The 26,061-nt window shown below is 39.1% G+C and overlaps 1 protein-coding gene across 14 annotated transcripts in view, besides 3 other annotated features; it reads right to left on the bottom strand.

The window, feature by feature from the left end:
• Positions 1-26,061, bottom strand: part of SLC35F4 (solute carrier family 35 member F4) — a 419,262-nt gene that overhangs the window by 211,471 nt on the left and 181,730 nt on the right. Inside the window, exon 1 of one of the 14 annotated variants that reach the window (XM_011536724.4) lies at positions 24,022-25,043. The exons of the other annotated variants lie outside the window; for them this stretch is intronic. Coding sequence (XP_011535026.1) covers positions 24,022-24,070 — 49 coding nt within the window. The 5' untranslated portion in view covers positions 24,071-25,043. Of the gene's footprint in view, positions 1-24,021; positions 25,044-26,061 lie in introns of those variants that run through there. 14 annotated transcript variants of the gene reach the window in all.
• Positions 10,008-11,207: an enhancer, noted in NCBI's record as "MED14-independent group 3 enhancer chr14:58252116-58253315 (GRCh37/hg19 assembly coordinates)". NCBI's record gives its function as "activates an origin of replication core promoter dependent on BRD2, BRD4, P300/CBP and CDK7 cofactors, and independent of MED14, by STARR-seq in HCT116 cells {active_cell/tissue: HCT116}" and the evidence as "EXISTENCE:reporter gene assay evidence [ECO:0000049][PMID:35650434]".
• Positions 10,599-11,098: an enhancer, noted in NCBI's record as "H3K27ac hESC enhancer chr14:58252707-58253206 (GRCh37/hg19 assembly coordinates)". NCBI's record gives its function as "activates a minimal SCP1, AML or CMV promoter by ChIP-STARR-seq in primed H9 embryonic stem cells {active_cell/tissue: H9 hESC(primed)}" and the evidence as "EXISTENCE:reporter gene assay evidence [ECO:0000049][PMID:30033119]".
• Positions 24,029-24,528: an enhancer, noted in NCBI's record as "H3K4me1 hESC enhancer chr14:58266137-58266636 (GRCh37/hg19 assembly coordinates)". NCBI's record gives its function as "activates a minimal SCP1, AML or CMV promoter by ChIP-STARR-seq in naive H9 embryonic stem cells {active_cell/tissue: H9 hESC(naive)}" and the evidence as "EXISTENCE:reporter gene assay evidence [ECO:0000049][PMID:30033119]".

Consider the following 26,061-nt stretch of genomic DNA (forward strand, 5'->3'; position numbering starts at 1 on the left):
ATTGGAGTCTTGGAACCAGTGGTCCAGGAGCAAGCACCTCAGCCCCTCCGGTACAGCAGGTTCCTAACCTGGAGGAGCCAGATAACAAAGCTGAGGTCAATATCAGTCCCTCAGAATTACAATATGCAGTCTAGGAGTTCTGAGCTGAGCCTTGGCTCTTTAAGGTTTTCCAGAAATGAAGCCAGTCAACTGAACCCATCTTATACCACAATCAAACCCTCAAGGTCATCAATGGGATAACAGAAATAAAATCCATCCAAAGGAAAGCAACTTCAGAGATTGAAGGAACATCTGCTCACAAAGATGAGAAAGAACCAGCACAAAAACTCTGACAACTCAAAAAGCCAGAGTGTCTTCTTTTCTCCAAATGATTGCACTCGTTCTTCAGCAAGGGTTCTTAACTGGGTTGAGATGGCTGAAATGACAGGAATATAATTCAGAATATGTATAGAAATGAAGATCATTGAGATTCAGGAGAACACTGAAACCCAATCTAAGGAAGCTAAGAATCACAATAAAATGATACAGAATCTTACAGACAAAATAGCCAGTGTAGAAAAGAATGTAACTGACCTGACAGAGCTGAAAAACATGCTACAAGAATTTCATAATGCAACTGCAAGTATTAACAGCAGAATAAACCAAACAGAGGAAAGAATCTCAGAGCTCGAAGACTGGTTTTCTGAAATAAGACAGAAGAGAATAAAAGAAAGAAAAGAAAAGGAATGAACAAAACCTCCAAGAAATATGGGATTATGTTAGGAGACCAAATCTATGACTCACTGGTGTTCCTGAAAGAGATGGGGTGAATGGAAGCAACTTGGAAAATTTATTTCAAGATATCATCCATGAAAACTTCTCCAACCTAGCTAGAGAGGACAACATTCCAATTCAGGAAATGCAACAAACCCCTGCAAAATACTTTACAAGAAGATCATCCCCAAGACATACAATTATCAGATTTTCTGAGATCAAAATGAAAGAAAAAAACATTAAAGCCTGGGCATGGTGGCTCACACCTGTAATCCCAGCACTTTGGGAGGCCACGGGCGGATCACGAGGTCAGGAGATCAAGACCATCCTGGTTAACATGGTGAAACCCCTTCTCTACTAAAAATACAAAAAATTTGCCAGGAGTGGTGGCACGCGCCTGCAATCCCAGCTAATTGGGAGGCTGAGGTCAGAGAATCGCTTGAACCCAGGAGGCAGAGGTTGCAGTCAGCCAAGATCATGCCACTGCACTCCAGCTTGGGCAGCAGAGCAAGACTCCATCTCAAAAAAAAAAAAAAAAAAAAAAAATTAAAGGCAGCTAGAAAAGTCAGATTCCCTAGAAAGGGACACCCATAAGACTAACAGTGGATTTCTCAGCAGAAACTCTATAAGCCAGAAGAGAGTGAGGGCCTATATTCAAGATTCTTAAAGAAAATAAATTCCAACCAAGGATTTCATATCTGGCCAAATTAAGCTTTGGAAACACAGGAGAAATAAGATCCTTTTCAGACAAGCAAATGCCGAGGGTCTCGTAAGAGCTGCCTTACAAGAGCTCCTGAAAGAAGCACTAAATGTGGAAAGGAAAGATGGTTATCAGCCACTAAAAAACACACTTAAGTACACAGATCAGTGACACGATAAAGCAACCACACAAACAAGTCAGCATAATAACTAACTAACAACACGATGACAGGATTAAGTCCACACATATCAATACTACCCTTGAATGTAAATGGGCAAAATGCTCCGAGTAAAGAAAGGATGTGGAGAAATAGGAACACTTTTACACTGTTGGTGCGAGTGTAAACTAGTTCAACCATTGTGGAAGACAGTGTGGTGATTCCTCAAGAATCTAGAACTAGAAATACCATTTGACCCAGCCATCCCATTACTGGGTATATACCCAAAGGATTATAAAACATGCTACTATAAAGACACATGCACATGTATGTTTATTGTAGCACTATTCACAATAGCAAAGACTTGGAACCAACCCAAATGTCCATCAATGATAGACTGGATTAAGAAAATGTGGCACATATACACCATGGAATACTATGCAGTCATAAAAAAGGATGAGTTCATGTCTTTTGCGTGGACATGGATGAAGCTGGGAACCATCATTCTAAGCAAACTATCACAGGGACAGAAAACCAAACACTGCATGTTCTCACTCATAGGTGGGAGCTGAAAAATGAGAACACATGGACACAGGGCAGGGAACATCACAAACAGAGAGGCCTGTCGCGGGGGTGAGGGGCTGGGGGAGGGATAGCATTAGGAGAAATACCTAATGTAAATGACGAGTTGATGAGTGCAGCAAACCAACATGGCACATGTATACCTATGTAACAAATCTGCATGTTGTACACATGTACCCTGGAACTTAAAGCATAATAATAATAATAATAAAAGGCAAACAGTGGCAAGCCGGATAAAGAAAGGCAAGACCCAATGGTATGCCATCTTCCAGAGACCCATCTCACATGGAATGACACCCATAAACTCAAAAAAGAGATGGAGAAAAATCTACAAAGCAAATGGGGAACAGAAAAAAGTAAGGTTGGTGACATGGTTTGGCTGTGTCCCCACCCAAATCTCATCTTGAATTGTAACTCCCACAATTCCCACATGTCATGGGAAGAACCTGGTGGGAGGTGATTGAACTATGGGGACAGGTCTTTCCTATGCTGTTCTCATGTTAGTAAATGAGTCTAACAAGATCTGATGGTTTTTAAAAAAAGGAAATTTCTCTGCATAAGCTCTCTCTCTTTGCCTGCTGTCATCCATGTAACATGACTTGCTCCTCCTTGCCTTCTGCCATGATTGTGGCTATGCCAGCCACATGGAACTATAAGCCCAACTAAACCTCTTTCTTTTGTAAATTGCCCAGTCTTGGGTATGTCTTTATCAGCAGCATGAGAATGGACTAATACAGTTGGAATCCTAATTTCAGACAAAACAGACTTTAAACCAACAAAGATCAAAAAAGACAAGGAAGGACATTAACTACATAAAGATAAGGGTTCAATTCAACAAGAAGAGCTAACTATCCTAAATATATATGCGCCCAACACAGGAGCACCGAGATTCATAAAACAAGTTCTTAGAGACCTTCAAAGAGAGTTAGACTCCCACATTAAAACACTGGAAGACTTCAATACCCACTGACAATATTAGATCATTGAGGCAGAAAATCAACAAAATATTAATACCTGAACTCGACACTGGACCAAATGGACCTAATAGACATCTACAGAACGATACACCCCAAACCAATGGAATATATGTTCTTATTGCCATATGGTACATACTCTAAAATCAACTACACAATCAGATATAAAACAATGCTCAGCAAATTAAAAAAAAAACAAAATTATACCAAGCTCACTCTCAGACCACAGCGCAATAAAAATAGAAATCAAAACTAAGAAAATCACTTGTAACCATACAATTACATGGAAATTAAATAAACTGCTCCTGAATGACTTTTGGGTAAGTAATGAAATTAAGGCAGAAATCAAAAAGTTCTTTGAAACCAATGAGAATAATGATACAAAATACCACAATCTCTTGGACACTGATAAAGCAGTGTTAAGAGGGAAATTTATAGCACTAAATGTCTACATCAAAAAGTTAAAAAGATATCAAGTTAACAACCTAACATCACAACTAAAAGAACTAGAGAAGCAAGAAGCAACTAATCCCAAAGCTAGCAGAAGACAAAAAAAAATAATAATAATAATAACCAAAATCAGAGCTGAAGTGAAGGAGATTGGGACACAAAAACCATTCAATAGATCAGTGAATCCAGGAGTTGGTTTTTTGAAAAAATTCATAAACTAGACAGACTGCTAGCTAGACAAAGAAGAAAAGATCAGAAGGTCCAAATAAACATAATTAGAAACGATAAAGGAGATATTACCACTGACCTCACAGAATACAAATAACTATCAGAGACTACTATGAACATCTCCTTGCAAACAAACTAGAAAATCAAGAAGAAATGGATATATTCCTGGGTACATACGCCCTCCCAAGACTGAACCAGGAAGAAATTGAATCCCTGAAAAGACCAATAACAAGCTCTGAAATTAAATCAGTAATAAATGTACCAGATGTACAAAGAAGAGCTGATACCATTCCTACTGAAACTGTTCCAAAAACCTGAAGAGGAAGGACTTCTCCCCATCTCATTCTATGAGGCCAGAATCATCCTGATACCAAAATCTGGCAGAGATACAACAAAAAAATGAACTTCAGGCCAATATCCTTAATGAACATTGATGCAAAAACCTTCAACAAAATACTGGCAAAGCAAATCCAGCAGCACATGAAAAAGCTAATCCACCATGATCAAGTAGGCTTTATCCCTGGGATGCAAGGTTGGTTCAACACCAATAAAATCGATAAATGTGCTTCATTGCATAAACAGAACTAAAGACAAAAACCACAAGATTATCTCAATAGATGCAGAAAAAGCTTTCAATAAAACTCAACACCCCTTCGTATTAAAAACTCTCGACAAACTAGGTATTGATGGAATATACCTCAAAATAATAACAGCCATTTATGACAAACCCACAGTCAACATCATTCTGAATGGGAAAAAGCTAGAAGCATTCCCCTTGAAAACCAATATAAGACAAGGATGCCCTCTCTCACTACTCCTATTCAACAAAGTATTGGAAGTCTTAGCCAGAGCAATCAGGCAAAAGAAAGAAATAAATGACATCCAAATAGAAAGAGAATAAGTCAAACTATCCCTGTTTGCAGATGACATGATTCTATATCTAGAAAACCCCATAGTCTTGGCCCAAAAGCTCCTTCAGCTGATAAATAACTTCAGCAAAGTTTCAGGATACAAAATCAATGTACAAAAATCATTAGCATTCCTATACACCAACAACAGCCAAGCCAAGGGCCAAATCAACAATGCAATCCCATTCACAATTGCCACAAAAAGAATCAAATACCTAGGATTACAGCTAACCAAGGAGAGAAAAATATCTCTACAATAAGAATTACAAAACACTACTCAAAAAAAAATCGGAGATGACACAAACAAATGGAAAAACATTTCATGCTCACAGATAGAAAGAATCAATATTGTTAAAATGGCCATGCTCCCTGAAGAAATTTACAGATTCAGTGTTGTTCCTATCAAACTACCAGTGACATTCTTCACAGAACTAGAAAGAACTGTTTTAAAATTTCTATGGAACTAGAAAAGAACTCAAATAGCCAAGGCAAAAGAACAAAAAGAACAAAACAAGAGCCATCACACTACTTGACTTGAAACTATGTTACAGGATTACAGTAACTAAAACAGCATGGTACTGGTATAAAAACAGACACATATAAAACATAAGACACATATAAAAACATAGACCAAGGGAACAGAATAGAGAGTCCAGAAATAATGCTGCACCCCCACAACCATCTGATCTTTGTCAAAGCTGAAAAAAACAAGCAAGGCCATATGCAGAACATTGAAACTGGACCACTTCCTTATGCCATATACAAAAGCCAACTCAAGATGAATTAAAAACTTAAATGTAAAACCCAAAACTATAAAAACCCTGGAAGAAAATCTAGGCAATATTATTCCGGACATAGGAATTGGCAAAGATTTCATGAGGAAGACACCAAAAGCAATTACAACAAAAGCAAAAATTGACAAGTGGAATCTAATTAAACTAAAGAGCTTCTGCACAGCAAAACAAACTATCAACAGAGTAAACAGACAACCTACAGAATGGGAGAAATATTTGCAAGCAATGCATCTGACAAAGGTCTAATATCCAGCATCTATTAGGAACTTAAACAAATTTACAAGGAAAAAAACCCACTATATTAAAAAGTGGGCAAAAAAACATGAATGGACACTTCTCAAAGAAGACATACATGTGCCCAACAAGCATATTTTTAAAAGCTCAATATCACAGATCATTAGAGAAATGCAAATCAAAACCATAATAGGTACCATCTCACACCACTAAAAATGGCTATTATTAAAAAATCAAGAAATAACAGATACTGGTGAGGTTGCAGAGAAGGGGAATGTTTATACACTGTTGGTAGGAGTGTAAATTAGTTCAACCATTGTAGAAAGCAGTGTGATGATTCCTCAAAGAGCTAAAAGTGGAGCTCATATTTGACCCAGCAACTCATGACTGGGTTATACCCAAAGGAATATAAATCATTCTACCATAAAGACACATGAATGCATATGTTCATTGTAGTATTATTCACAATAGCAAAGACATGAAATCAACCTAAATGCTCATCAATGGCAGACTGAATAAAGAAAATGTGGTAGATATACATCATGGAATACTATGCAGCCATAAAAAAGAACAAGATCATGTCCTTTGCAGGAAAATGAATGGAGCTGGAGGCCATCATCCTTAGCAAACTGATGCAGGAACAGAAAACCAAATAGCTCATATTCTCACTTACAAGTGGGAGTTAAATGATGAGAACACATGGACACAAAGAGAGGAACAACAGACACTAGAGTCTACCTGAGGGTCCAGGTTGGGAGGAGGGAGAAGAGCAGAAAAAATAACTATTGGTTACTAGGTTTAATACCTGGGTGATAAAGTAATCTGTATATCAAACCCCCATGACACAAGTTTACCTATATAACAAACCTGCACATGTACCCCTGAACCTAAAAGTTTTTTAAAAAGAAAGTAGTACAAGTAAAAAAATGTTTATCACAATTACCTTTTAGTTATCAAGGACAGTTTAACATATTCATCACTAACAGAGTAATCTGTAAGACATATTTTAGAAATGTTATCAGAATTAATTTATATGAGTCAGTTACATTTACCCAAATGAGTGCAAGTACAGTTGGCCCTTGAGCAATAATGAGTTTGAACTTCACACATCCCCTTATACATGGATTTTTTTTCAATATACTGGGAAATTTTTGAACATTTGCAACAATTTGAAAAACTCCCAGAAAAACTGAGTAGCCTAGAAATATCAAAAAAAAAAGAAAAAGGCATGTCATGAATGTATAAAATATATGTAGATACTAGTCTATTTGGACATTTAACACCATAAAACGTACACAAATATGCTATGCAAAGTTAAAATTTATTAAAATCTATGGGTAAACAGAGACCATACATGGTGGTGTTTGCAGTTAAGAGCATGTAAATAAAGACAGAGCATTAAATTGTAACTGCATAAAACTAACTTTAGTACATACTGTACTACAGTAATGATTTTGTAGCCACCTCTGGCTGCTGTTGCTGTGAGCTCAAGTGTTGTCAGCATCTGCTTAAAACACCCTGCGTAAGCAGTTTGTCCTCCAGTAAATTGTGTATGACAGTAAAAAACTGATCTCTCCCAGTTCACACACATTTTGCAATGTGTTTAGTGCAATACCATAAACTTTGAATAACACCATTAGAACCATATAAAGTGCCACTAGTGATGCTGGAAGTGCTCCCAAGAAGCAGAGAAAAGTCATGACATTACAAAAATAAAGTTGAATTGCTTGAAATGTGGCATAAATTGAAGTCTGCAGCTGTGGTTGCCGGCTATCTCAAGATAAATGAATCCTGAATAAGGACAATTGTAAAAAAGGAAGGAAGGAAGGGAGCTGGGAGGGAGGGGAAATGTGTGAAGCTGTTGCTGCAGCTATACCAGCAGCCATGAAAACCTTGCATTTTTTGCAAGTTACCTTTTAAAATCATATTAAAAATGCTGCTTTTATGTGGGTGGAGGATTGCTATCCAAAAAGTATACCTGTAGACTCTAATATGATGTGAGAAAAAGTGGTCATTATATGACAACTTAAAGCAAAAGGAAGATGAAGTATCTAAAGCTGGAGGATTTAATGTCAGCAAAGGATGGTTTAACAATTTTTTAAAATATCAAGCAGCTTCTGTCCACCAAGAGGCAGCAGAGAGTTCCCAGATGCCACTAAGAAAATTATTGAAGAAAAAGGATAACTGTCTGAACACGTTTATAATGCAGACAACAGTCTCCTATTCTGGAAAAAAAAATGCCACAAAGGACATTTATTAGTAAGAAAGAGAAGCGAGCACCAGGATTTAAGGCAGGAAGGAATGGGCTAACTCTACTGTTTTGTGCAAATGTAGTTGGGTTTATCATCAGGACACCCCTTATCAATAAAGTTGCTAACTCCAGAAGTTTGAAGGGAAAATACAAACACCCAGCAGCCAATCTTTTGATTGTGCAACAAGGCCTGGACAATAAGAACCATTTTTCTGGGTTGCTCCATTGATGCTTTGTCTCTGAAGTCAGGAAGCACCTTGCCAGCATGGGATGACCCTTTAAAGTCCTTTTGACATAAGACAATGGCCCAGCCACCCAGAATCTCATGAGTTCAAAAATCAAAGATTGTTGTCTATTTGCCCCTAAACACAACATCTCTAATTCAGCCTTTAGATCAGTGGGTCATAAGAATCTTTAAGGCTCATTACACAAGATATTCTATGAAAGATTGTCAACACTATGGAAGAGAACCCTGACAGAGAGAAGATAATAAAAATCTAGGATTACATTATAGAAGATGCTGTCGTTGATATAGAAAAAGTTGTGAAGGCCATCAAGCTCAAAACAATAAATTCCTGCTGAAAAAACTGTCTGATGTTTTGTATGACTTCACAGGATTTATGACAGAGCTAATCAAGGAAATAATGAAAAAGATATGGAAATGGCAAAAAAGTGATTAGTGAAGGGTTTCAAGATGTGTGTATTGGAGAAACTGAAGAGCTAATAGGTATCACACCAGAGGAATTAACTGAAGATGACATGATGGAGATGAGTGCTTCCAAACCAGTGCTAGAGAATGAGAAAGACATAGAAGAAGCAGTGCCAGAAAAAAAATGATTTTAGACAATCTGGCTAAAGGGTCCCAATTATTCAAGACTGCTTTTAACTTCTTTTACAACATAGACCTTTTGTGTGGTACAGGCACTGAAACTAAATTAGATGGTAGAAGAAGGATTAGTACCATATAGAAACATTTTTAGGGCTGGGTGTACTGGCTCATGCCTGTAATTACAACACTTTGGGAGGCCAAGGCAGGAGGATTGCTTGAGGCTAATAGGTCAAGACCAGCCTGGGCTACATGGTAAGATCCTGTCTCTATAAAAAAAATTTTTTCTTAGTCAGGGGCGTGCCTGTAGTCCCAGCTACTTGGGAGGCTGTGCTGGGAGAATCTCTTGCGCCCAGGAGGTTGACGCTGCAGTAAGCTATGATTTCACCACTGCACTCTAGCCTGGGTAACAGAGACTCTGTCTCTTCAAACACAACAAAACAAGAAACATTTTTAGGGAAATGAGAAAGAAAAAAGTCAAACAAAAATAACGATGCATTTTTATAAAGTTACACCAAGTATACCTAACTCTCTTGCCTCCCCTTCCACCTCTGCCACCCATGAGACAGCAATACCAACCCCTCCTTGTCCTCTTCCTCCTCAGCCTGCTCAACATGAAGATGATGAGGTTAAAGACCTTTACAATGATCCACTTCCACTTAATGAAGAGTGGGATGTTTTCTCTTCCTTATGCTTTTCTTAATAACATTTTTTCTCTACCTTATTGTAAGAATACTCTATATAATACACATAACATATACATTTTATGTTAACTGACAGTTCATATTATTGGTAAGGCTTCCAGCCAACAGTAGGCTATTAGTGGTTAAGTTGTGAAGAAGTCAAAAGTCATAGATTTTTGACTGCACAGGGAGTTTGTGCCTCTAACCCCTGCCTGTGCAAAGGTCAGCTATGGTTTAAATATTTTGATGATTAAAAATTAAGCCTCGGTTACCTGAAGTTTATACTACATGAAATATCTCTGTCATGGTGCCAGATATCATAATTTAACCCAGATGGCAGCTATGGTATCACACTGACTCTTGGCCAAGGGCAACAAACTTCTCTCCTTGATGATAGATAATCGAGCCCTCCATTGCACGGCACCCCTGCCTGCTTCCCCTGACAATGAAATGAGACAGTAGTACATAAATTACTTTTAAAAAGCACTCAGTAAGGCAGGACTACATTGCAGTTCTGTACAGAGCAGTATGCGGAGGCTTGTGTTGTGAATTTTAGCTCCAGATAACTGTAAGAACAAACCAGCAATCCCGAGAGGACCCACAGACCCTCTGAAGGAAGCAGACTGCTCATACAGGACCCAGGAGACACCCCAAATACTGTGAGTGCCCCAACTGCAGAAGTGGGGAAGGGAGACCCTCCTCTCCCAAATGCACACCCCTACTGGAGAACCTGAAGGTCTGTTTGCAGGAAAAGTTTCTGACTTTACCTGGAGCTGAGTCCATTTAGAGAGCTGAGTGAAATACTGGGGAAGAGGAAGCAGCAGAAACGCCCTGGGAGCTTTCTGGGTCCCCTGGCAGGCAATTCCTGCCTAGTACCACAGGGATCCATTGGGAGGGTGGCCAGAGAAGCAGGGGTAAGACTCTGCAGGGAGAAGGAATTCTCTAGCTGAACTTGGTAACAATTTGAATGGGGCAAGAAGCCTCCTGGCCAGAACCTGGGGGAGGGCGCAAATCCAGTGTGCAGACTCCACAGGCAGGGGAAGAACCAAGGCCTTTTCTTTGGCAGCTGGAAGACGGGTAACCTGGGGCAAGTTTTCAAGCCCCCCTCACCCTCTGCCTGGAAATAAACTCAGGGCTGTTGGGGGTAGGGCACAGTGGGAGTGAGACTGGCCTTCAGTTTGCGTGGGAGCTGGGTGAGGGCTATGAGTGCTGGATTTCCTTCACTTCCCTGACAACCTGCATGACTCAGCAGAGGCAGCCATAATTCTCCTAGGTACACAACTGCGGTGACTTAGGAACCTCACTCCCATACCTCACAGCAGCTGCAGCAAGATCCGCCCAATGAGTGTCTGAGCTCAGATATGTCTAGCCCTGCCCCCACCTAATGGTCCTTCCCTATCCACCCTGGTAGCAGAAGACAAAGGGCATATAATCTTGGGAGTTCTACGGCCCCGCCCACTGCTGGTCCCTCTCCACACTACTACAGCTGATGCTCTCTGGAAAGTGCCACCTCCTCACAGGAGGCCAACTGGCACAAAAACCGAGCATTAAACCACCAAAGCTAAGAACCCTCACGGAGTCCATTGCACTCCCTTGTCATGTCCACAGAACAGGTGCAGGTATCCTGGCTGGGAGGTCCATAGATGGTTCACATCACAGGACTCTATGCAGACAATGCCCAGTACCAGCCCGGAGCCAGGTAGACTCACTGAGTGGCTAGACCCAGAAGAGAGACAACGATCACTGCAGTTCAGCTCACAGGAAGCCTCATACTTAGGAAAACAGGGAGAGTACTACATCAAGGGAACATTCCATGGGTCAAAAGAATCTGAACAGCCTTCAGCCCTAGACCTTCCCTCTGACAGAGCCTGCCCAAATGAGAAGGAACCAGAAAACCAACCCTGGTAATATGACAAAACATGGCTCTTCAGCACCCCTCAACAATCATATTAGTTCAGCAGCAATGGACCCAAACCAAGAAGAGATCCCAGATTTGCCTGAAGAAGAATTCAGGAGGTTAGTTATTAAGCTAATCAGGGAGGCACCAGAGAAAGGTGAAGCCCAGTGCAAGGAAATCCAAAAAACGATACAAGAAGTGAAGGGAGAAATATTCAAGGAAATAGAGAGCTTAAAGAACAAAGCAAAAATTCGAGAAACTTTGGATACACTCTTAGAAATGTGAAATGCTCTGGAAAGTCTCAGCAATAGAACTGAACAAGTGGAAGAAAGAAATTCAGAGCTCAAGACAAAGTCTTCAAACTAACCCAATCCAACAAAGACAAAGAAAAAAGAAAAAGAAAACATGAACAAAGCCTCTAAGTAGTCTGGGATTATGTTAAACGACCAAACCTAAGAATAATCGGTGTTCCTGAAGAAGAAGAGAATTCTAAAAGCTTGGAAAACATATTTGGGGGAATAATTGAGGAAAACATCCCCAGCCTTGCTAGAGACCTAGTCATCCAAACACAAGAAGCACAAAGAACACCTGGGAAATTCATCGTAAAAAGATTGCCTGATCACAATGTCATCAGGTTATTCAAAGTTAAGATGAAGGAAAGAATCTTAAGAGCTGTGAGACAGAAGCACCAGGTAACCTATAAAGAAAAACCTATCAGATTAACATCAGATTTCTCAACAGAAACGCTACAAGCTAGAAGGGATTGGGGCCTATCTTCAATCTCCTCAAACAAAACAATTATCAGCCAAGAATTTTGTATTCAGTAAAACTAACCTTCATATATGAAGGAAAGATAGTCTTTTCCAGCCAAACAAATCCTGAGAGAATTCGCTATTACCAAGCCACGACTACAAGAATTGCAAAAAGGAGCTCTAAATCTTGAAACAAATCCTGGAAACACATCAAAACAGAACCTCTTTAAAGAATAAATCACACAGGACCTATAAAACAAAAATACAAGTTAAAAAGCAAAACAAAAAACCAAAGTACACACGCAACAAAGAGCTGGATGAATGTGATGGTACCTCTTATTTCAATACTAACATTGAATGTAAATGGTCTAAATGCTCCACTTAAAAGATACAGAACTGCAGAATGGATAAGAACTCACCAACCAACTATCTGCTCCCTTAGGAGACTCACCTAACACATAAGGACTCACATAGACTTAAAGCAAAGGGGTGGAAAAAGGCTTTTCATGCAAATGGACACCAAAACAAGCACGGGTAGCTGTTCTTAGACAAAACAAACTTTAAAGCAACAGCAGTTAAAAGAGACAAGGAGGGACATTATATAATGGTAAAAGGCCTTGTCCAACAGGAAAATGCCACAATCCTAAACATATGTGCACCTAACACTGGAGCTCCCAAATTTATAAAACAATTACTAATAGACCTAAGAAATGAGATAGACAGCAACACAGTAATAGTGGGGGACATCAATACTCCACCGACAGCACTAGACAGGTCATCAAGACAGAAAGTCAATGAAGAAACAATGGATTTAACTATACTTTGGAACAAATGGACTTAGCAAATATATACAGAACATTTCATCCAACAACCACAGAATACACATTCTATTAAACAGTGCATGGAACTTTCTCCAAGATAGACCATATGATAGGCCATAAAATGAGTCTCAATAAATTTAAGGAAATTGAAATCACATCAAGCACTCTGTCAGACCACAGTGGAATAAAACTGGAAATTAACTCCAAAAGGAACTTTTAAAACTATACAAATACATGGAAATTAAATAATTTGCTGTTGTGGATCTAACAGACATCTACAGGACTCTCGACCCCAAATCAACAGAATAGACATTCTTCTGAGCACCACATAGCATTTATTCTAAAATTGACCACATAATTGGAAGTCAAACGCTCCTCGACAAATGCAAAAGAACGGAAATCAAAACAGTCTGTCAGACCACAGTGTAATCAAATTAGAACTCAGGATCCAGAAACTCACTCAAAACCGCACAACTACATGAAAACTAAACAACCTGCTCCTGAATGACTACTGGGTACATAACGAAATGAAGGCAGAAATAAATAAGCTCTTTGAACCCAATGAGAACAAAGATAAAGTGTACCAGAATCTCTGGGACACAGCTAAAGCAGTGTTTAGAGGGAAACTTGTAGCACTAAATGCCTACATGAGAAAGTGGGACAGATCTAAAATCGACAACCTAACATCACAATTAAAAGAACTAGAGCAAAGAAATTCAAAAGCTAGCAGAAAAGAAGTAACTAAGATCAGAGCAGAACTGAAGGAGATAGAGACACACAAAACCCTTCAAAAAATCAATGAATCCAGGAGCTGGTTTTTTGAAAAGATTAATGAAATAGACCACTAGCCAGCCTAATAAAGAAGAAAAGAGAGGAGAATCAAATAGATGCAATAAAAAATGATAAAGGGGAGATCACCACTGATCTCACAGAAATACAAACTATCATCAGAGAATACCATAAACACTTCTATGCAAATAAACTAGAAAATCTAGAAGAAATGGATAAATTCCTGGACACATACACCCTCCCAAGACTAAACCAGGAAGAAGTCCAATCCCTCAATAGATCAATAACAAGTTCTGAAATTGAGGCAGTAATTAATAGCCTACCAACCAAAAAAAGCCCCGGACCAGATGGATTCACAGCTGAATTTTACCAGAAGTACAAAGAGGAGCTGGTACCATTCCTTTTGAAACTATTCCAAACAACAGAAAAAGAGGGATTCCTCCCTAACTCATTTTATGAGGACAGAATCATCCTGATATCAAAACCTGGCAGAGACACAACCAAAAATAAAATTTCAGACCAACATGCCTGATGAATATCAATGTGAAAATTCTCAATAAAATACTGGCAAACTGAATCCAGCAGCACATCAAAAAGCTTATCCACCATTATCAAGTTGGCTTCATCCCTGGAATGCAAGGCTGGTTCAACATACACACATCAATCAATGTAATGCATCACATAAACAGAACCAATGGCAAAAACCATATTATTATCTCCATAGATGCAGAAAAGGCCTTTGATAAAATTCAGCACTGCTTCATGCTAAAACACTCAAGAAACTAGGTACTGATGAAACTTGCCTCAAAATAATAAGAGCCATTTATGACAAACCCACAGCCAATATCATACTGAATGGGCAAAAACTGGAAGGATTCCCTTTGAAAAGTGGCATAAGACAAGGATGCCCTTTCTCACCACTCCTATTCAACATGTTATTGGAAGTTCTGGCCAGGGCAATCAGGCAAGAGAAAGAAAAATGGTATTCACATAGGAAGAGAGGAAGTCAAATTATCTCTGTTTGCAGATGACATGATAGTATATTTAGAAAATCCCATCATCTCAGACCAAAAACTCCTTAAGCTGATAAGCAACTTCAGCAAAGTCTCAGGATACAAAATCAATATGCAAAAATCACAAGAATTCCTATACAACAATAATAGAGAGACAAATCATGAGTGAACTCCCATTCATAATTGCTGCAAAGAGAAAAAAATACCTAGGAATACAACTTACAAGTGATGTGAAGGACCTCTTCAATGAAAACTACAAACCACTGCTCAAGAAAATAAGAGAGGACACAAACAAATAGAAAAACATTTCATGCTCGTGGATGGGAAGAATCAATACTGTGAAAATGGCCATACTGCCCAAAGTAATTTACAGATTCGATGCTCTTCTCATCAAGCTACCATTGACTTTCTTCACAGAATTGGAAAAAACTACTTTAAATTTAATGTAGAATCAAAAAAGAGCCCACATAGCCAAGACAATCCTAAGCGAAAAGAACAAGCTGGAGGCATCACACTACCTGACTTCAAACTATACCACAGGGCTACAGCAACCAAAACAGCATGGTACTGGTACCAAAAATGTCATATAGACCAATGGAACAGAACAGAGGCCTCAGAAATAACACCACAAATCTACAACCATCTGATCTTTGACAAACCTGACAAAAAATGCAATGGGGAAAGGATTCCCTATTTAATAAATGGTGCTGGGAAAACTGGCTAGCCGTATGCGGAAAACTGAAACTGGACCCATTCCTTACACTTTATACAAAAATTAACTCAAGATGGATTAAAGATTTAAACATAAGACCTAAAACCATAAAAACCCTAGAAGAAAAGCTAGGCAATACCATTCAGGACATAGTCATGGGCAAAGACTTCATGACTAAAACACCAAAAGCAATGGCAACAAAAGCCAAAATTGACAAATGGGATCTAATTAAACTAAAGAGCTTTTGCACAGCTAAAGAAACTATCATCGGAGTGAACAGGCAATCTACAGAATGGGAGAGAAATTTTGCAGTCTATTCATCTGACAAAGGTCTAATATCCACAGTCTACAGGGAAGTTAAACAAATTTACAAGAAAAAAAACAAACAACCCCATCAAAAAATGGACAAAGGATATGAACACTTTTCAAAAGAAGATATTTATGGCCAACAAACATGTGAAAGAAAACTCATCATCACTGCTCATTAGATACATGCAAATCAAAACCACAATGAAATACCATCTCATACCAGTTAGAATGGCGATCATTAAAAAGTCAGGAAACAACAGATGCTGGAGAGGATGTGGAGAAAGAGGAATGCTTATACACTGTTGGCAGGAGTGTAAATTAGTTCAACCATTGTGGACGACAGTGTGGTGATTCCTCAAGGATCTAGAACTAGAAATACCATTTGACCCAGCAATCCCATTACTGGGTATATACCCAAAGGATTATAAAACACATGCACATGTATATTTACTACAGCACTATTCACAATAGCAAAGACTTGGAACCAACCCAAATGCCCATTAAAGATAGACTGGATAAAGAAAATGGGGCACATATACACCGTAGAATACTATGCAGCTATAAAAAAAGATGAGTTCATGCCCTTTGCAGGGACATGGATAAAGCTGGAAACCATCATTCTCAGCAAACTGACACAGGAACAGAAAACTAAACACCACATGTTCTCACTCATAAGTGGGAGTTGACCAATGAGAACGTATGGGTACAGGGAGGGGAACATCACACACTGGGGCTTGTTGGAGGGTGGGGGGCAAGGGGAGGGATAGCATTAGAGAAATACCTAATGTAAATGACGGGTTGATGGGGGCAGCAAACCACCATGGCACATGTGTACCTATGTAACAAACCTGCACTTTCTGCACATGTATCCCAGAACTTAAAGTATAATTTAAAAAAAAAGGAAGATATATGAATGGCCAGAAACATATGAAAAAATGCTCAACATCACTAATGATCAGGGAAATGCAAATCAAAATGACAATGCGATACTACCTCACTCCTGCAAGAATATCTATAATCAAAAAATAAAAAACAGTAGATATTGGCATGGATGTGGTGATCAGTGAACCCTTCTACACTGCTGGTAGGAATGTAAACTAGTGCAGCCACTATGGAAAACAGTGTGAAGATTCCTGAAATAACTAAAAGTAGAACTACCATTTGATCCATCAATCCCACTACTGGGTATCTACCCAGAGGAAAATAAGTCACTACATGAAAAAGACACTTGCACATACATGTTTATAGCAGCACAATTTGCAACTGCAACAATATGGAACCAGCCTAAATGCCCATCAACCAATGAGTGGATAAAGAAAATGTGATATATATATGTATATATGCACACACATACCATGGAATACTACTCAGCCATAAAAAGGAATGAAATAATGGCATTGGCAACAACCTGGATGGTGTTGGAGACCATTATTCTAAGTGAAGTCACTCAGATATGGAAAACCAAACATCGTGTGTTCTCACTTATAAGTGGGAGTTAAGCTATGAGGACACAAAGGCATAAGAATGATAATGGACTCTGGGGACTCAAGGGGAAAGGTGGGAGGGGGGTGAGGGATAAAAGACTACACACTGGGTGCCGTGTTCATTGCTTGGTGATGGGTGTACCGAAATCTCAGAAATCACCACTAAAGAATTTACTCATGTAACCAAACACCACCTGTACCTGAAAAACCTATGAGAAAAATTAAATCATATAAACCTATAATTAAGTGTATTTTATTAAAATGGAATACATTAAAAAAACTTTTTAAATTAAAAGCACTCAGCAAAATTAAGGGGTGTAACTTAAAAAACAAAACCAAAATATTAGAAACTGGTGTCTAGAAAACACAGAAGAAAATTCTCCAAAGGCCTAACCTCGTCTTATCACAAAACTTACCAAATCCTGAAAATGTGCCCAGGCTCCTCTGAGTAACAGAATGCAAAAGAATTAATAGTAAAGGGGTGAATCTGAGAAAAATAACACCTGCTCCACCTTTTTTATGCTCATTTTTTAAAAACTTTTATTTTTTTTTTTTCAATTGCTTTAGGGGTACAAGTGGTTTTTGGTTACATGGATGAAACTGTACAGTGGTGAAGACTGGGCTTTTAGTGCACCCATCACCTGAATGTTGTACCAAATAGGTAATTTTTTATCCCTCACCACACTCTTACCCTTCTACCTTCTGAGCCTCCAATGTCCATCAAACTGTCCTGTATGCTTTTGCATACCCATAGCTTAGCTCTCACTTATAGGTAAGAACATTTGGTATTTGGTTTTCTGTTCCTGAGTTACTCAGGATAATGGCCTCCAGTTCCATCCAAATTGCTGCAAAAGACATTATTTAATTATTTTTTATGGCTGAGTCATATTTCATGGTATATGTATACCAAATTTTCTTTATCCGTTCATATTGTTGATTCTATATCTTTGTAATTGTCATTTGTGCTGCAATAAACATATGTGTCCAGGTGTCTTTTTGATATAATGACTCCTTTTCCTTTGGGTAGATTTCCCAGCAGTGGAATTGCTGGATTGAATGATAGATTTACTTTTGGTTCTTTGAGAAATCTCCATACTGTTTTCCATAAAGGTTGTACTAATTTACATTCTCTGTGTAAACCAGTGTATAAGCATTCACATAGACCAATAGAACAGAATAGATAACCCAGAAATAAAGCCAAATACTTACAACTAACTGATCTTCGACAAAGCACACAAAAACACAAATTGAGGAAAGGACATGCTATTCAATAAATGGTGCTGGGAAAATTGTAGAAGAATGCAGAAGAATAAAACTAGATTCCTATCTTTCATCATATAAAAAATTAGCTTGAGATATGTTAAAGACTTAAATTTAAAACCCCAAGCCATAAAAATTCTAGAAGAAAACCTAGGGAAAACTCTTCTGGACATTGGCATAGGCAAAGAAGTTATGACTAAGACCCCAAAAACAAATGCAACAAAAATAAGTAAGACCAAACTAAGCTAAAAACTTCTGCACAGCAAAAGAAATATTCAACAGAGTAAACACACAACCTACAGAATGGGAGAAAATATCTGCAAACTATACATCTGACAAAAGACTAATGTTCAGAATTGACAAGGAACTCAGAGAAACCAGCAAGAAAAAATAATCCCAAGAAAAAGTGGGCAAACAACATAAACAGACATTTCTCACAAGAAGATATACAAATGGCCAACAAACATATGAAAAAATGTTCAACATCACTAATCATCAGGGAAATGCAAATTAGAATCACAATGAGATACCACCTTACCTCAGCCAGAATGACCATTATTAACAAGTCAAAAATTAATAGATAATAGCACAGATGTGGTGAAAAGCAAACTTGTTCTTTTTCTACTTTCTCTTTTATAGTAGCCTTGACTACTGAATGGGTCTGTAGGCCCATTCTGTTCATTTTAATTCATGCTTTGGGTTTGAACTTCTTTTAGATTTCCAATGTCATTCATCATTCTGGCCACTTGACCTGGGACAAAACTGCTTCTTTGGGTGTGTTCTATAAATGCTATGACTGTAGTACCCTGCAAATAATATGTAAATGAAACGACTCGAAAATAGGTGCTTCATGAGTCCAAGTAAAACATACTTCTGGGAAAAAAAACTGACCTTTTGAGCATTCAACTATTATATGTACTGGTTTTGGAGATTAATGAAAAGACCTTCAGAAATCTTGAAGATGCTGGTGGAATTCAGAAGATGGGTTTTGAATTCCTGCTCCATCAATTATTACTTATATAGCTGTGAACAAATTACACCCATCTCTGGAAGCCAAATTTTCCTCATCTGTATGTTAGAGATAAAATTAGCTCCCTTCCTCAAAAGGTTGTAACTAGGATTTAAATGAGCTAATGTGTGCTTATCACAGATGTTGGGACTTTGCATATATTCAATAAATGTTAGTAGCTAATATTTTCATTAAATGTAATCATATCCCTTCCTAGTCAGTTTGTATATACAGACAAAGCAGAATATTTACTAGGTTTGGATCGATGGAAAAATAGAAAAATCTTGGTAAACAAACTTAAAAGTTTTTGTTCTGTCTATGACTTTCACATATGTGCTCAGCCTTCAAGTTTCTCCCTGGTAGTCTAGAAGAAGCTGAAAAGACTTCACTTATTTAGGAACCATTCACTAAGAACCTAATGTGCATAAGGAAGGAAAAATAATTCAAGAGCTCGCCACCCAACAACCTAACTGAACATATCGAAGTCATCAGAATTTCTGGCCAACTTTACATATTCAAATCATTTAGCCAGTCTGCTTATGTATTGATCCAATATAATAAAAATTTCTAAATCAGTCATGTTATAGCATTATACATTCAGTTAGAACTATCAGCTACAGGAAAGTCACCCAGAAATCCAATGGACTAGAAGCCAGTAGATGGCAAAAACTCCTTTGAAAAAATAACACATGGAAATATAAAGCTGATTTCCAAACAGAATTAAATAAATGAAAATGATATATATTCTAGTATAAAAATATTTATATGATGAACTTACGAATAATTTAAAAATTAATAATAGACATCTTTCACTTTTTTTTCCTTCCAACCTTTATATTAGGTTTGGGGGTACATATGCAGGTTTGTTACATGGGCAAATTGCATGTTACTAGGGTTTGGTGTACAAATTATTTCAGCACTCAGGTAGTAAGCATAGTACCCAATACCTAGTTTTTCAATCCTCGCCCACCTCCCACCCTCCACCCTCAAGTAGGCCTCAGTGTCACTTGTTTCCTTGTGTCCATATGTACTCAATGTTTAGCTCCCACTTATAAATAAGAACATGCAGTGTTTGGTTTTCTGTTCCTGCATTAATTCAATTAGGATAATGGCCTCTGGCTATATCAATGTTGCTGCAAAGAACATTATTTCATTCTTCTATATGGCTGCATAGTATTCCATGGTACATATACCTCATTTTCTTTACCCAGTCCACCATTAATGGGCATCTAGGTTGATTCCATGTCTCTGTCATTGTGAATAGTGCTGTGATGAACATATGTGTGCATATGTCTTTATGAACAACTTTTAGAATGACTTTTCATTTCAAAACTTTCATCTACCCCTATATTACAGGTTTTTATATCTGAAACATAATCAATCTATTTTCACCAGATTTGTGGAACTTTGCTTGATTACCTCAGTTAAAGAACAAACTGCATCTAATCTGACCTGTGAATTAAAATTTGTATACAATCTTTTTATAGTCACAGTCAAACAATTGTATTTTCAGGTAACAGGAAGATAACATATTTCTGCTTGTGCAACTTGTTTCAAATACACATAAATTAAAAATATTAAAAGTCATAAATAAAAGCATTAAGAGCAGAGTAGGTAGTGAAAGGAACTCCTCTAGCAGCAAAACATTGAATTTTAGTTCTTCCTCTTAAAAACATTTATTTAAATTCTCATGTAAATAGTGTCATTCTAAAGTACTACACATGCAGAATGAAATAAGTAGGCATAGCTGGCTCCTGGCCATAGCAGATGGAAGGAAACCAATGAAGCAGTTAAACATCAAGCTAAGGAGTTCACATGAGCACACACTTGCACACAAACACACATACACACAAACCCTCAATGAATATTATCCAGTGTTAATGAAGTATTCAGTTTCACTGGGAATCTCAGATGACAGGTGACATTAATTAAAATATTAACAATTTTGTAAACACTAACAAGGTGAATGTGCTCTTGCCACTCAGTGAAAATATGCAAGGACATTAATTTGCATTTGCACATGCACAAATCAGCTAAAACTTTCTAATTTCAGGGCTCCTTCCTACACAGAACAGCTTTCAGAAGCATGCCCCAAAATGCACACAAAATCTTTTGCTATAACCTCTTGGCAACTTCCAGGATTCATAAAACCATTTTTAAAAGGCACCCTCAGTAACCTTGACATTCAGAAGATCTGTGAATCTTATCCATAGTCTAGCAGTCCCATGTTCCATCACCTCTGCTAGCAGAGGATGGACACTTGCTGCCTGCTGGGCAATTTGCGGGCAGGATTCATTCATGTTCCCTCTGCCCCAGGTAATTTATGATTCTGTTTTTAGCATTTCCAATGTAGCCAGGCCAGCTGGATTCCTCCTGGGAAGTAGCATTGGGATTATTCATGAGGCACAGAATGAGATAGGACAGCTGGGTCAAAAGGGAAAGGAACTGTAGAATGTCCTCATCCCCGCTTTGCCCATTAAAATATATTGTCACTGACTAGCTGTGTATTCTTCTGCCAGTCACCTCATCTCTTTGGACTTCAGTTCCTTATCTGTAAAATAATAGAATTAAAACTCTGAAGTACCTTCCAGCTCAAACAGTCTATGAAAAGTAGCTTAGGAGTATTCTATGCACCTAAAACGTATATAAATCTACTGAGGAAGAAGGGTCCATGATGAAAAAGGCATTTAAAAATGCACAGAAAAGACCAGATGTCTTATAAAAATGGAAGTTAACTGAGAAGAAATTTGTAAACTCCAAACAAAACATGAAACACTGGGTGATAAGTAGAATTCTTGCTCTCAATTTGTCACTCCCCTGTAATAGTTTATATCCTTGCCATATATCTTGACAGTATGGGGAAGGTACTTCCCCATCCCTTAATCTTGGACTTGGCCACGTGACTCACTATGACCAACAGGATATTAGTGAAAGTAATACAAAGTAGAGACATAAAATGTGCTTGTGCATTTGGGTTGCTCTCCTAACCTCCTGCCATTGCCAGAGGGAAAATATACAATAGGTCGTCACTCATCAGTCTGAACTCCAGAAAAGACCCATGAAGCAGTCTTGAACCAAGCCTGCAGCCTAGAGCCAAGACCAGCTGAGCCTAGGTAAACTTCACACAGCCCACAGACCCACGAGCAAAAAAAAAAAAAAAAAAAAAAAAAAATTGTGATAGACCACTGAGGTTTAAGGGTCATTACAAACCATTATTACAACAAAAGCTGACAAATACACTCTACATGGAAATAACATATTGAAAATGGAGAAAATGCCTAGAGGACCTGAGAGGCTAAACACCTAGGTAGGTATCACAGAACCTGGAATGAAGTGTACTCAACATGGTCACAAGTGTGTAAAAATGACAGTGAAAACAATTTTAAAACCATACACGAACGACAGCAGGATCCTCTGTACTCAATTTTAAATGAACATCATTAATAACCATATATGGTTAGCTTGATGACCTTAATTAGGCCTTAACTGGGTAGAAGGTAAAACTAGTTCAAAAATCTAAACAATTCTGAAACTTCCTTCAGACCATTTGTTCTCACAAACTACCACATACCATCCTGTCATATTATCTGAGCCAGGGAATGCTACAGATGCATCTCATAAGCATGATGCTGTCGAGCACACACCTGCTGAAGAGACAATGTTTCAGCATTTCTCCTAGGATCCAGAGGCTACTAAATCTGAACAAATCAACTTTATAGGAAATGTGCACATATCTGTTCTGTAATTAAATGGTAAATGTTGCCATTTGATTTTTATGCTTCTCTATTGGAGCCAGCGGCACGTCCTGCTCAGCCAACTTTAGGGCTTTTACAGTAAATGCAGCAAGGTCTTAGGTTTAGCAGCTTAGTTCTGTTTAAAAACTAGATAGAGAGAAGCAGAGAATAAATGAAGCAGAGAAGATAAGCTCCAAAAACTCAGTCAATATCAGAGCACCACTCACGCTAAGAATGAAGTATCTGTTATTTTTACCACTTGATAATAGAATTATGTAGCCAATTAAAACAAAGTTTGGGATTGACACAAGATGTCCAATTAGAAGCAGCTGCGGTCCTCAGCGCTCACAGGAATGAAAGGCTGCGAATAAATTCTGCACCTTCAACTGAAATATCGAGGTTCTTGCATTGGGACTGACTAGGCAAACAACTTGACCCACAAAGAACAAAGAAAAGCAGGGACGGAGCAACGTCCCTAGGAGCTGCTCAGAGCCAAAGAAACCCCCACCCCCAGCCAAAGGAAGCAGTGATTGTGCAGCCCCAGCCGGGAAACCACGCTTCTCCCACAGATCTGTGCAACCCATGGATCAGGAGATCCCTCGTGAGCCCACGCCACCAGGGCTTTGGGTCCGATACACAGAGCTGTGTGGAGTCTCGGCAGAGCAGACACTCAAGCATACACAGAGACCTAGGAGTTTTACCTGTTCTGGCCCCGGGATTCCCAGCGAGGTGGCAGATCCGTCTGTACATATCCCTAGGAAGGGGGCTGAATCCAGGGAGCCACACAGCATCGTTCTGCAGGCCCCGTTTCCAAGCACCTCACAAGTTAAGACCCACTGGCTTGGAATTCCCGCCAGCCAATGGCAACAGGCTGGAATCTGCCTGAGACCGGCGGAGCTCCTGGGGGGAGGGGTGGCCACCATCTCTGTGGTTCAGTAGACTCAGCTGCTTCAGCCCACCAGCTTTGGAGAATACAAATGGTCAAAACGAGGAAGGCTCCCCCTCAATGCAGCACAGCTGCCTTGCCAGATCATGGTCAGGATGCTTCTTTAAGCAGGATCCCGATCCATTCCTCCTCACTGGGTGGGACCTTCCCATAGGGGCTTCAGCCACTCCAGCAAAAGTTCTATGGACAGAGCTCTGATCTCTCCCTGAGATGGAGCTCTGAGGGGGAGGTGCAGACACCATCTCTGCGGTTCAGTCAACTCAGCTTTTCCAGCCTGCCAGCTGTGGAGAATACAAATAGTCCAGACAAGGAAGGGTCCCACACAACCTAGCACAGCTGCCTTGCCAGCAGTGGCCAGACTGCTTCTTTAAGCCGGACCCCAATCCCATTCCTCCTGACTGGGGAGGCCTCCCAACAGGGGTCTCTAGCCACCTCCTACAGGCACGTTTGGGCCGGCAACATGTCAGTACCTCACTGGGACAGAGCTTCCAGAGGAAGGATCTGGCTGCCATCTTTGCTCTTTCACAGCCTTCACGGGTAATACCTCCAGGTACAAGAGAAACCAAGGCCGCTGGGGTCTGGAGCGGATCCCCAGCAACCTGCAGCAGTCCCTGCAGTAGAGTGGCCTGACTGTTAAAAGAAAAACAAACAGAAAACAACAACAACATCAACAAAAATGACCCCACAGAAACATCATTCAAATGTCGGCAACTTCAAAGACTGAAGGCAGCTAAGCCCACAAAGATGAGAAAGAATCAATGCAAAAAATGCTAAAAACTGAACAAGCCAGAGTGCCTCTTCTCCTCCAAATGACCACAACACCTAACCAGCAAGGGCACAGAACTGGACTGAGGCTGAGATGGCTGAATTGACAGAAGTAGGCTTCAGAAGGGGGGTAATAACAAACTTCGCTGAGCTAAAGGGGCATGTTGTATCCCAATGCAAAGAAGCTAAGAATCATGATAAAACAATACAGGAGCTGATAGCCAGAATAACCAGTTTAGAGAGCAACATAACCAAACTGATGGAGCTGAAAAATACAACGCAAGAACATCACAATGCAATCACAAGTATCAATAGTAGAATGGACCAAGTGGAGGAAAAAAAAACTCAGAGCTTGTTGAAGATTATCTGAAATAAGACAGGCAGACAAGAATAGAGAAAAAAGAATGAAAAGGAATAAACAAAATCTCTGAGAAATATGGGATTATGTAAGGAGACTGAACCTATGACTGATTGGGGTACCTGAAAGAGACAGGGAGAATGGAACCAAGTTAGAAAACATACTTCAGGATATCATCCAGAAGAACTTCCCCAACCTAGCAAGACAGGCCAACATTCAAATTCAGAAAATGCAGAGAACCCCAGTAAGATACTCCATGAGAAGATCAACCCCAAGACACATAATCATCAGATTCTCCAAGGTCAAAATGAAAGGAAAAATATTAAGGGCAGCCAGAAAGGCTGGGCCACCTACAAAGGGAAACCCCCATCACACTAACAGTGAACCTCTCAGCCAAAACTCTACAAGCCAGAAGAGATTGGGGACCAATATTTAACATTCTGAAAGAAAAGAATTTCCAAACCAGAATTTCGTATCCAGACAAACTAAGCTTCATAAGTGAAGGAGAAATAAGATCCTTTTCAGACAAGCAAATGCTTACGGAATTTATCACCACCAGGCCTGCCTTGCAAGAGCTCCTGAAGGAAGCACTAAATATGGAAAGGAAAACCATTACCAGCCACTATAAAAATACACTGAAGCACACAGACCAGTGACACTGCAAAGCAACCA

Source organism: Homo sapiens, chromosome 14 (assembly GCF_000001405.40).
Source record: "Homo sapiens chromosome 14, GRCh38.p14 Primary Assembly".
Lineage (NCBI taxonomy): Eukaryota > Metazoa > Chordata > Mammalia > Primates > Hominidae > Homo > Homo sapiens.